This window comes from Homo sapiens, chromosome 3 (assembly GCF_000001405.40).
Source record: "Homo sapiens chromosome 3, GRCh38.p14 Primary Assembly".
Classification (NCBI taxonomy): Eukaryota; Metazoa; Chordata; class Mammalia; order Primates; family Hominidae; genus Homo; species Homo sapiens.
In genome coordinates this window covers 51871701-51884784 of record NC_000003.12, presented here as the reverse complement: position 1 = coordinate 51884784, position 13084 = coordinate 51871701, and the positions used below count along the sequence as shown (strand labels likewise).

The window sequence follows — 13084 nt, the reverse complement described above, 5'->3', positions numbered from 1 at the left end:
AGAGAGCAGATTGTGAGACTTCTCAGCCTCCATAGTTGCAGTAAGCCAATCCCATGATAAATCTGTTTCTATCTCTACCTCCTATTGGTTCTGTTTCTCTGGAGAACCTCAGTGAATACAGTAATAAACAGCCCATTAAAATATGGCCAAAGACTTAAGCAGACGCATTACTAAGAAGACATACGGATACCAACTAAGCACATGAAAAGATGCTCATCACCATTAGCCATTAGAGAAACGAGTTAGTAAACTTTTCCAGTAAAGGATTAGATACATAGTAAACATTTCCAGCTTCATGGGCTGAGAGGCAAAATTGATGATATGACGTGTATACGTAGTTATATAGCAAGAGAGAAAACAAGTTTCCACAAATTTTTATTGATGAAATTAAAGATATAATAAAAATTGAGTAAGTTTTGTAATACAGGTGGACTAATGAAAACAATGCATTTTTGGGGGTGGGCAGAAGGACCATGTTTAGTTTAATCAGTGCTGAAAGTTAGTGTTTCCTGTCATCAAAATCAGTTGCACATGCTTATATGTGATGAATTTTATATATTTCATCTTTGCAATGTCTTTTTACACGTATAGGCACTATGTAAAATATTTGGTACTGCCAAATACTAATATGAATCTGATATGGTTTGGATCTGTATCCCCACCAAATCTCATGTTGAACTGTAATTCTCAATGTTGGAGGTGGGGCCTGGTGGGAAGTGATTGGAGCATGGGGGTGGTCCTTCATGGAGGGTTTAACACCATCCCCTTGGTGCTGTTCCTGTGATAGTGAGTTCCCATGAGATCTGGTTGTTTGAAAGTGTAGCACCTCCCCCGCCTCCTCCCTGCGACCCTTCCTCCTGCTCCAGCCATGTGAAGTGCCAGCTTCCTTTTCATCTTCTGCCATGATTGTTAAGTTTCCTGAGGTCTCCCCAGAAGCCAAGCAGATGCTGCCATGCTTCCTGTACAGCCTGAAGAATCATGAGCCAATTAGACCTCTTTTCTTTATAAGTTACCCAGTCTCAGGTATTTCTTTATAGCAGTGGAAAAATGAGCTAATGTAGAATCCATGAACATATGACTTTGATTGAGAATATTCTTCACTTGGGAGATACTTATAAGAGTTCTATTAGATTCTTCTTTTGACATTTGCCTGTACGCATGTCATTACATTGTTGATTAACTACTTCCAGCTGAAGTTCAGGTGGTCACTACTCAATTGCTTAAATAAATATATTTAGAAATGTTGAAATTCCCCTTGTACTTGCATAGAAGTCTGAAATGCACGTGCTGCTGGAACTGCAGTTTGAGTTCAGAAAAGATACCCCCTGCAAATTTGTGTGGGAATGGATATCTCACTTCATGTTTTAACTTTTGACAGCTCGGGAAGTACTTAGAGCAGCTTAACATTACTTGTGATTCAACATTGTTGCCAACTTGACTTTACCATAGTATAGATATTATGTATAAGTTTTGTTTTTCCCTTTAACTTCAGGTTTAATTCATTAAGGAACATAAAGACTGCAGCAAAAACTTATTTCTAGTGCTATTCAGTGCTGGATAATAGTAGTTAAAGGCAGTTTTTCTCATTCAGAAAAATTTCAATCTCGACCTTTAACTTTAAAGTTCTCAGTAAAACCTTACCATTGCTAAGCTATGGAACTGCTGTGTGGTTGGGCAAGTCAGCAAATTCAGCTTCTATTTCTAAAAAAAGTTCATGGAACTGATGATGGTTGAGTCAATGATGCCATGTGAAGTCTACCATTGACACTACTGGTTCAGTAACAGGATTGATTCCAATGTTTTCCACAAAGTACCTACAGATGAATGATACAATGAATAACCATAGGCTTTAAGCACCTACATTTTCATAAACTTTGTTTTTTCAACTAAGCCTTTGTTCGGCCTCACACATATTTTCACTACTATCAGATTTATCACATCTTGGCAGATTCCATTTCAGGCTGTGTTGAATTAGCATTTTCTCAATTTCTTCAACAAATATTCTCATCCATGTTTGTTTCATACACATAGAGGTTAATTTCTGTCACTTCAAACTTGGCAGTTACCCTTCAATAAGCAACAGCCAAGCCGTATTGGTACATCTGTCAACTCATTAAGAGCCAAGAAAAACCACTTGAAATCATTTGCCTTGTTGTTTAATTGGCTATTGATATTGTTACTCATGTCTTTGACTTTTTGAGCAGTTATTCTCATTGAGAGACTAACAATGGGCTGGGTGTGGTGGCTCACATCTGTAATCCCAGCATTCAGGAGGCTGAGATGGGCGGATCACCTGAGGTCAGGAGTTCAAGACCAGCCTGGCCAACATGGTGAAACCCCGTCTCTACTAAAAATACAAAATTAGCCAGGTGTGGTGGCACATGCCTGTAATCCCAGCTACTCGGGAGGCTGAGTCAGGAGAATTGCTTGAACTTGGGAGGTGGAGGTTGCACTGAGCCGAGATCACACCACTGCACGCCAGCCTGGGTAACAGAGCTACAGTCAGCCTCAAAAAAAAAAAAAAAAAAAAAGGCTAATGATGTTTATTTTCTCTGGACACATTTCTTCAGCTGTTGCAATCAAATATGATTTAATTAACTCACTACTGGTAATAAAAATAACCTTTCCCTGCTTGGCTAACAAATGAGCAACTTGGTAACCTATTTTGCTTGCAGTCTCATTTTGATTTTTTAGTTTTTGTAAAGAAATTCTACTGTGATGAGATATGCCACTTAAAATGTTTAACTTTGATGATTATTAACTTCTTGCAAGTTAAGAATATTGTGGAGTGCTTAGTCTGGTAATGTTGATGGATAACATCGTGTTCTTTTAGCATAGCTATAGTGTCATTGCATAATGGACACAATGCTTTGCCATTGTCTTAAAAGTGCGACATTTAAAGTCTGCTTTTGTCTTTTCTTCTTATTTTGATGTGATGGGCATGCACTGGTAATTAAAAAATAGGTCACAGTACAGCAGTATATGTGGCACACAGAACACTGTTTAGCTATAACTGCACCTCTGTGATTTTTGTGGGCTGAGCAGCAGGGGAAATGAGGAGAGTGCCATGTATGGTCCCCTTCAACAAATATTTAACTCTGTCATTGTAGTGCAAATGTGGCTATAGACAATATATAAGCAAATAAGCATGGTAGTGTTCCAATAAAACTTTATAGACACAGAAATTTGAATTTTGTATAATTTTCATGTGTCATGAAATAATATTCTTTGAGTTTTTCCAATCACTGCAAAATGTACAAATATTCTTTGCAGGATGTACAAAAACAGGCAGGCAGTGGGCTGTATTGACCTACCAGTTGTAGAATGCCCAACCATGCCCCAAGTCAATGTCCATTACACAATGCTGAGCCCCTAACAGGAACCAATATGTGGAATGATAGTGGACCTGTGACTACGCCTCAAGTTATTCACTTGGGAATTTATGCATTCTGTCCCTGTAACTTCAGGCTCCATCTGACTGGAGGTACTAGATTCTAGGGAGGAAAGACATTTATCAGGGGTCACAGTAAGAGTCTCACTAAACATAAAGCTATGGCTGTGACCTGGTCACTTTATCCTCCTTATGCCAAGAGACAAGAAGTCACTCTATAATGAAAGGAGTCACTCTGTTGGCAGGAATAATTAACACTGATCATTAGGAGAAGATGCACTGCTGCTACACTAGGTGGGGGTGAGCAGGAAAGACTATGAATGTGGCTTGGATGATTCACTGGAAAATTTCTTGGTGCTTCGCTGCCTAGGTGTAATGGTAGATTAACCCATACAGCAATCATAGCCTGAGAATTATAGCCAGAGAATTATAGCCAGGGATGAGGGTCTGGATCACCACTGCACCCACTTCCCTTCCCATTACTGGCAACCTGTGTAGACAGCAGAGATGCAAGTCAAACAGGAAAGGAATCTAGAAAGGGTAGTGGATGAAGGGGAAAAGGTGTGTGACTGATGGTCTCAAAGTAAATGATGGGCCTGTAACTTGTCCTTTTGACCCTTTTCTTTTTTCTTCAGGAGTACACATGCGGGTTTATTAAACATAAGTAAACTTGTGTTATTGGGGTTTCTTGTACATTTTGTTACCCAGGTAATAAGCCTATTACCCATAAGTTATTTTTCTTGATCTTCTCCCTCCTCCCACCATCCACCCTCCAATAGGCCCCAGCATCTGTTGTTCCCCTCTATGTGTCCATGTGTTCTCACCATTTAGCTCCCACTTATGAGTGAGGACATGTGGTATTTGGTTTTCAGTTTTGTGTTAGTTTGCTAAGGATAATGGACTCCAGCTCCATCCATGTTCCTGCAAAAGACATAATCTCATTCTTTTTTATGGCTGCATAGTATTCCATGGTGTATATGTATGTACCACATTTTCTCAGTCTACCAATGATGGGCATTTAGGTTGTAAGGAATATAAATCATTCTATCATAAAGACACATGCATATGTATGTTTATTGCAGCACTATTCACAATAGCAAAGACATAACTCTTCTCTTTTAAGTTTTCCCAGGAGACAAGACCAACCAGAATCGTTATTTTTAAATGGTGAACATTTACTATGGGAAGCAAGTAGATATGAGTGGCATAAAGGGTTGGGCTGCAGTGGATTTGCAGATGTAGTGGATCCTTTCTTCATAGCTGGTGACTCATCCCACATCTCTTGGGAATATTGGCTGCTGCTCGGTCACTGCTGTCATCCATTGGGAATTGTTTTTGGCCATAGGGAAGAGATTTGACCAAGATTATGTCCTCTCCTAAGGGGAATCCTGCAGCCAATCACTGGCTTGTGGTTGGTGTTATAGGTTGAAGTGTATCCCTCCTAAAAGATATGTTGAAGTCCTAACCCTCAATACCTCAAAAAGTGACCTTATTTGGAAATAGAGCTTTTGCAGATGTAGTCAATAAGATGAAGTCATTGGGTGGGCCCTAATCTGATATGATTAGTGTCCTCATATTAAGGGGAAAGTTGGACACAGGCACAGATGTGCACAGGGGGAAGAATATGTGAAGACACAGGGAGAATGCCATGTGAAGACAGAGGATTGGAGCGATGTGTCTACATGCCATGGAACACCATGGGGGATGCCAGCACATCCCCCAAAGCTAGGAAGAGGAAAGGAAAGGTCCTTTTCCTACAGGTTTCAGGAGCATGGCCTTGCTGACACATTGATTTTGGGTTTCTAACCTCCAGAACTGTGAGCCAATTAAACTTCTGTTGTTCTAGTCCCCTGTCTTAGTTTGTCCAGGCTGCTATAAGAAAATACTATAAGGCTGGGTACGGTGGCTCACACCTCTAATCCCAGCACTTTGGGAGGCCAAGGTGAGCGGGTCACTTGAGGTCAGGAGTTCAAGACCAGCCTGGCCAACATGGTGAAACCCCGTCTCTACTAAACATACAAAAATTAGCTGGGCGTGGTGGTGGACACCTTTAATCGCAGCTACTTGAGAGGCTGAGGCATGAGAATCACTTGAACCCAGGAAGCGGAAATTGCAGTGAGCTGAGATCACATTACTGTAGCCTACCCTGTGTGACAGAGCGAGACCCTGTCACAAAATAAAAATAAAAAAAGAGGAAAGAAAGAAAGAAGCAAAGAAACAAAGAAACAAACAAACAAAGAAAGAAACAAAGAAAGAAAAAGAAAGAAAGAAAAATAAATCACATTCTGTTTCACCTTCTTCCTCCCTGCTCCCCCTTTCTCCCTCAGACTCCAAGTCCCCACGCTTCCCCTCTCTCTTCCCTCTTTAGGTTTCTTCTTCCCTCCCTTCCTTCTTTTCTTTCCTTCCTCCCTTCCTTCCATAGGGTCTTACTGTGTTGCCCAGGCTGGAGTGCAGTGGCACGATCTGCAGCCTTGATCTCCTGGCCTCAAGTGATCCTCCCTTTTTTGCCACCCGAAGTGGTGGGATTACAGGGAGCACCACTGTGCCCGACCCCTCCAGGTTTCTTTATTTCTCCCTCCCCTGCCTTCCCCGTGTCATCCTTCTCCTCCAGTCCCAAAGTGCCCAGCCTCCTCACCTCTGATCTGGGACTTTCAGCACCAGCCCATGTCCATTCCATGCCCATGCCCACCCTTACCAGGGTAGAGGAGACAGAGGAGGGAATGACAGAATTTGTCTCCAGGAATGCAGACCCTGGGGGCTCCAGGTCTCCTCAGAGAGGTGGGCTATGAGTAGATAGTCCATTAATTCATCCACTCATTATACATTCGGTGAACAATTATTTTTCACCTACTATGTCCTGGTATTGTGCAGCCTCTGGGGTCGCAAACATGAGGAATGCTCAGCCTCTGCCCTCTAGGAACCAGTGAGAAAAGGGGCCAGTCAGCAAACAGATGACTGTGTAAGATCAGGTGAGGACCACAGGTGGATATAGATCAGGTGGAGATCTTTAAAGGGGGCCACGGGGCTTCCCAAGGTGCAGGACCCACCAAGTAAACTCCTGGGTCCTCCTGGGAGGCTGCTGTGCCAGGGGCTGCATGTGAGGGTCACTTATCTGGGGATGGGGCTGGGGCTGCTGCAGAAGAAATGCCTGAGGCAGGGGCTGAGGGTTGCCTTAGAACAGCCCATTCCCAGGAGACCTGCGTTTCCTCCTCTGCAGGCCATGGGGCTGGGAGCACATGCAGAGGGCTGGTCCCACTGGAACCCTCACTGAGTCCTGCTTTCTTCTCCTTTTTCCAGCCGTCCTGCAAGGGGCCTACTGAGAACCTCTGGAGGAAACTCTGGTAGAGGAGGTGGAGAATGGTGGGGGTGGGATGGGAGAATGGTACCCTAGGATGCTGGTACTTCTGTGCTCAGCGCTCACCCACAGTGGCCCTGAGGGGCCTGTGTCTTGCTCCCTGTGCTGCATGCCTTACCCCAGCTCCAGGAGGCTCACTCCACCATGCTCACACCAGGCCCCTCACCCAGCACACTTTCCAACCTCCCCTTGGAAGGCATCTTCCTCTGCTCCTCAGCCCCTGGGGTGCCTCCTCCCTACCCACTGGCTAGAGGCTGAGCTGGTTCTAGTAGCACTCAAGGCCCAGCACCCACCCTGCTTCTAGGGTCACCTCATCCACCAATGCCCCAGCCCCTGGGCCTCTTTCCTGTCTGGATCTCCCTCCTTTCTGGACTCCAGCCCCCTTGTTCCTCTGGGCTCTAGTAATGGGATCTTTCCTGTGCCCTTGGAGTGCAGGGACCTTTATCCTTCTCATAACACCCAAACACACTTGGATCCTAGTATGATGATCTCTGTGTTATAAATGAGATGGGTAGAGGTATTTAAATCAGCTTTTATTGAGGCATAATTTACATACATATATATCCATTTTAGATGTACATTTCATTGATTTTTTTGGGGACAAGTTTATACACCTGTGTGACCATCTTGGCAACCAAAATACAGAACATTGCAGGCTGGGTGTGGTGGCTCATGTCTGTAATCCCAGCACTTTGGAAGGCTGAGACAGATTGCTTGAACTTAGGAGTTTGAGACCAGCCTGGGCAACACGGTGAAACCTTGTCTTTACAAAAAATACAAAAATTAGCTGGGTGTGGTGGCTATTCTGGAGGCTGAGGTTGGAGGATTGCTTGAGCCCAGGAGGTTGCAGCTGCAGTGAGCCATGATCGTGCTACTGCACTCTAGCCTAGGTGACACAGCTAGACCCTGCCTCACGAAAAAAAAAAAAAAAAAAAAGAAAAGAAAAGAAAAAGAAAGAAAGAAAGAAAAAATCTAGAACATTCCATTACCCACATAGTTCCCATTCAGTCTCCATCTCAAAGTCTGGGCAACCACTGCTGTGTCCCCATTGACGACAGCTGTCCCCACTGCAGTGCACACACATGGATTCACAGTGTGCCTTCTTCAGAGTCTGGCTTCTTTTGCTTGGCTAATTTTTTAAGATTCAGGATGGAGGTTTTTTAGCGGGATTTTTCTAGAAACGATGAGAACCGGAAGCTTTGGGAAAACATGGAGATGCTGGGGTCTGCATGATGTGGTGGTTTAGAGCCAAGGCTCAGGGTGGAGCAGAGCTGGGACCAAATGCTAGCTCCACAGCTGACCAGCTATGAAACAGGGTGACGTGAGCCAGGCATGATCTCTGCACCTCCATTGCGAAGTGGGACTAATATCACTGCATTGCTATTACCACGGACAGGAATGTGGTGACTAGTGGCTTGACTCAGGAGCCAGACTGATGGAGGCACTAAATTGACAGAGGTCTCCCGGGGGCCTGGCCAAGATCTTTATCTTCAAATAGGTGCTTCCTGCTCCCTCTCTGTCCTACACATTGTACCCCACTATTTCCCCATCCCCCACCTCATTGCTGTCTTCCCCACTCCCTCATTCCATTAACTTCAAACTGACACCCCCGCCATCCTCAAAGCACCTCCTCCTCTTCCCTACATTCCCCCTACAGATCCACATCGGCCTCTCCCATACTCACCCTACACATTCCCAGTGCATTCCTCAGTGACCACGGGGGCTGTGCCTCACCACGTCCAGCTGGGTCTTAAGAGGTTGCAATCAGGCAGAAAGGGGCCCTGCTTCTGCAGAGGCCACCCTCATCTATCTGATCGTGGCCTTGAGGTGCTCAGGGACAGAGGAAGACAGGAGAGCACTTTAACCCATTTGAGCTTTGGATGGAGCCCAGGCTAGTCCTGGGGGCCTCAAGGAGTTTTCTGGCCTGTGTGTGTCCTGTCCTCTCAGGTGCCTAAAAACAGACTGACCTGCAGATAGGTCAGACATAGGGGGCTTAGCAACAGTGAAGGAGTTTTTCGTGTCCCTCCAATTCCACCGTCCTCATCAGAGATATTGTTAGTTTTTGTGTACATCCTTCTATCCCCCCTTTTTAAGATAATGCCTTTACAGCACATGTGTATAAATGTGTGTTTATATTGGGATCACCTTGCCTTTCATCTTGATTTGATTCACTTATGAAATCTTGTACTTTTCTATATCTGTACATAGAGAGCAAACCCATTCTAATAGTTATTTGGAATACCAGGGTGTAAAGGAACTGAAAGGCATTTAATGAATACCAGCCAGATTTTAATGAGCAGCATTATATACCTTTGTGTCAATGGGTCAGTACTTGGGGTCTTCTAGGTTTTCCTTAGAAGAGGCTCATATGCTGGAAGCTGTCCTGGTGCCTGCATCACAGGTGCCCTTATGACATCACAGGTCCCGCCCTTCCTCCACTCTTCCTGTTGGAGTCCTGATCGGAGGAGTGCGGGCCGGAGGGTGATGGGACCATCTAGCCCCTAACCATGGGTAATTTAGTAAAGTCCAGACCTGTGCGAATTTTACGACCTGTCCCCAGTCAGATGTTTTGTAAGAGGCAGTCAGAACCACACTAGCTTTCTGAGGGGAGAGTAAGTTCCCCACAGTTACTCATGACAGGACCCCCCTCCATGTTTGAAGTCCTAGAGAAAGCCAGGAAGCTGTCTAGAAACAGTGAGAATGGTGTTTGACTTGGCACCTAGCAGTGGGAGAGCACCTTTCACTTTCTTCCCTATTTCCCCCCATACACTCTGATTCCAGAAGGATGGCAAGCTGTTTTAAATGATCATTAAACATAATGATGAAATCACATCGATAGAACAGAGCTGGAAGGAACAAAGGGGAGAAGAGGGAAGCGACTCCACCCCCAACACCCTCACCCCTACCAGGCCACACCCTTACCCACAACTCCGTGAGTGGCTGGGTCCAGAGAGCCTTAACTAGTGACATCTCTGACCCCTGTGGTCCAGCAGAGTGACTCAAAGATCTATGACCCTGTAATTTATTGTACAAAGAGTGGCTTCAGTGAGGGAAACAGGCACCTGTCCTCATTACCTGACATCAATCAGGGTGTTCCAGAAAAACTGGGGTGAAACGTCAGGGTATGCAGAGCTGGAATGAATGGGGACTGGCTGTCTCTTGCCCCCATTTTCTTGTCAGGCGGAGAGATGTGAGTCTGGCTGAGATACGGAGTGGAGACTGTGGCCAGGAGTGGGGCAGAGGAGTGTGATCCCGGACCATATAGGGCTGGGGGCTGCAAGTGGGGACTGTGGGGAATGCAGGACCAAGGGGCAAAATGTGTGTTAGTGTGTGGAGTGTGCATGTTTGTACAGATGCATGCATAGCTGAAGTTCAAGCTGTTCACAATGTGTGTGAGGTGGAGGAATCTGTTACCACTTTGGTGAGGAGGAAGGAACACAGCAGCTTGTGGGTTTGACTTGAAGTCAGAGTAAAGAGGGCAGGAGGAGCAAAGGACACCACTTCTTCAGCGGATGGGAGGGCTCTGAAGGGAAGAGTCATGGATCCCAGGTAGATGGCAGCTCTTTTACCTCTAAGTCACAGTGTTCTTGCTCTAGACTGGCCAGCAAGGTCCATGGAAAATGGAATGAGGTAGCTAGGGCAGATGTACACCTATTTTGCAGATGGGGACATTGAAACTCAGAGGTCAAGTGAGGTGAGCACATCCACTAACCTGTGGGTGGCAGAGGGGGGACACCTACCTGGTCTCCTGGGTTCAGCTGTTGCCCTGCCCAGTGCTGAACTTTAGAGGAAGGAGCCATCATTGATAGAGGATCAGGGCCCCTTCCTAGCATACCCTGAGTGTGTCTGTTTTCTCTTGTAAGGCCCAGAAGAGAAGACCATCATGACAGAAAGGTCTGCAGCTGTTTTCATCCAGGCCTGGTGGCGGGGCATGCTGGTGCGACGCACACTGCTGCATGCAGCCCTCAGGGCTTGGATCATTCAGTGCTGGTGGAGGCAGGTGCTGGAGAAGCTGCTGGCAAAGAGGCGGAGGATGGTGTTGGAGTTCTATGTGCAGCAGGAATGGGCAGCAGTCAGGCTGCAGTCCTGGGTCCGCATGTGGTGTGTCCGCCAGCGTTACTGTCGTTTGCTCAACGCTGTCCGCATCATCCAGGTCTATTGGCGCTGGCACAGCTGCCATTCCCGTGTCTTTATTGAGGGCCACTATGAACTCAAAGAAAACCAACTTAATATTCAACTTGAAATCTCTTTGGGCTTACAGGCTTGTAAGGTGCAACAATGCATACCCCTTCCATTAAAAGAATGACCAGGTCTGCTATATCTGTGTCCCCAGCTCTCTTCATCAGATGTATTTTCAGGAGGTCATTGTTTGAGATAATGATGGGAAATACTAGGCATGTCACAAGTCAGCTGTGAGGAATCAGCAGGGGTTGTCTTGGTTTCCATGTGGAGAAGGATTCTGAGAGCCGTCTGAGATGAGTAGGACCTGTGATTGATTAGCAATGTCTGCCATAGGTAGAAGAGTTGGGGTTTCAGGGTCACTAAGTCAACCAACTCTAGGGAGACTATGTAAATGGAACACCCTGTGGTTGTGCAGCATGGAAGACTGTGTCATCCTTTGCTATTCATTCATTCATTCATTCATTCATTCATTCATTCATTCATTCATTTATAGAGACTGGGTCTTGCTCTGTTGCTCAGGCTGGAGTATAGTGGTTCAATCACAGTTTCCTGCAGCTTCCAACTCTTTCCTGCTGCCTTAGTCTCCTGAGTAGCTGGGACCACAGATGCCCACCACCACACCTGGTTAATTTTTAAAAAATTTCTTGTAGAGATGGGGGTCTAACTATGTTGCCCAGGCTGGTCTCAAACTCCTGGCTTCAAGCAGTCCTCCTATCGTGGTCTCTGACGTTGCTGGGATTACAGGTGTGAGCCACTGTGCCCAACCTTTTAAAATACATTTTAACGATTTATTTTAAACATGGTGTTAAAATATACATAACATAAAATTTACTATTTTAACCATTTTAGGTGTATAGTTCAGTGGCATTAAGTACATTCGCATTGTTGTGCAACCATCACCACCATCCATCTCCAGAACTTCTTTCATCTTGCAAAACTGAAACATTGTACCCATTAAACAATTACTCCCTAGTCCTCCCTCCCCTAGCCCCTGACAACCACCATTCTACTTTCTGTCTCTATGAATTTGACTACTCGAAGTACCTCCTATGAGTGAAATCATACAGTACTTCTCATTTTGTGACTGGCTTATTCCACTTAGCATAATGTCTTCAAGAGTCATCCATATTGTAGCATGTGTCACATTTTCCTTCCTCAGGCTGAATAAAATTCCATTGTATGTATATGCTACATTTTATTCATTCATCTGTGGATGGACACTAGGATCCTTTCACCTTTTGGCGATTTGAATAACGCTGCTATGAACATGGATGTGCAAATATCTCTTCGAGATCCTACTTTCAATTCTTTTGGGTATATACCCAGAAGTGGAATTGCTGGATCATATGGTAATTCTATTTTTAATTTTTTTGTTTTGTTTTTGTTATTTTAAGAGACAAGTTCTCACTATGTTGCTCAGGCTGGAGTGCAGTTGCTATTCACAGGCGCAATCCCACTACTGATCAGCACAGGAATTTTGACCTGCTCCATTTTCAGTCTGGGATGGTTCACTCCTGCTAGGGAAACCTGGTGGTGCCCTGCTCCTAGGAGGTCACCATATTGATGCGAAACTTAGTGTGGACAACACATTAGCATAGTGCACTACCATACTGTTTTCCATAGCAGCTGTAACATTTTACATTGCTACCAGCAGTGCACAAGTGTTCCAATTTCTCCACCTCCTCATCAATACTTGTTATCTCTGCTTTTCTCATAACAGTCCTTCCAATGGGTATGAAGTGACATCTCATTATTTTTGATGTGTATTTCCCTAATGATTAGCGGTGAAAAACATCTTTTCATGTTCTTGTTGGCAGTTTAATATTTTCTTTGGAAAAATGTCTATTCAAATTCTTTGCCCATTTTTGAATTGGGTTTTTTTGGTCCTGTTAGTGTGTTGTAGGATTTTAATACTTTATCAGATATATGATTTATAAAGATTTTTGTCCCGTTCTATGGATTGCTTTTCACTCTGTTGTTTTTGTCTTTTGATGCAAAGAAGTTTTAAATTTCTTTTTTCTTTTTAAGACAGAGTCACTCTCTGTCACCTGGCTGGAGTGTAGTGGCATGATCTCGGCTCACTGCAACCTCCACCTCCCGGGTTCAAGCAATTCTTCTGCCTCAGCCTCCCAAGTACCTGTGATTACAGGCATGCC

The 13084-nt window shown here is 44.8% G+C and overlaps 1 protein-coding gene, 1 long non-coding RNA gene and 1 pseudogene across 2 annotated transcripts; 1 reads left to right on the top strand and 2 right to left on the bottom strand.

Moving 5' to 3' along the window:
* Positions 1 to 9017: 9017 nt before the first annotated feature.
* On the bottom strand, positions 9018 to 11189 carry IQCF5-AS1 (IQCF5 antisense RNA 1). The gene is made up of 3 exons (NR_109984.1): positions 11033 to 11189; positions 10487 to 10949; positions 9018 to 10397 (listed from the first exon to the last, which is right to left on the bottom strand). It is a non-coding gene; the product is annotated as an IQCF5 antisense RNA 1 (long non-coding RNA).
* IQCF5 (IQ motif containing F5) lies at positions 9184 to 11064 on the top strand. Its single transcript, NM_001145059.2, has 2 exons — positions 9184 to 9257; positions 10610 to 11064. Exons 1-2 carry the CDS (start codon positions 9254 to 9256, stop codon positions 11050 to 11052), a joined length of 447 nt encoding a protein of 148 aa, NP_001138531.1. The 5' UTR covers positions 9184 to 9253; the 3' UTR covers positions 11053 to 11064.
* On the bottom strand, positions 12321 to 12607 carry RN7SL504P (RNA, 7SL, cytoplasmic 504, pseudogene; annotated as a pseudogene).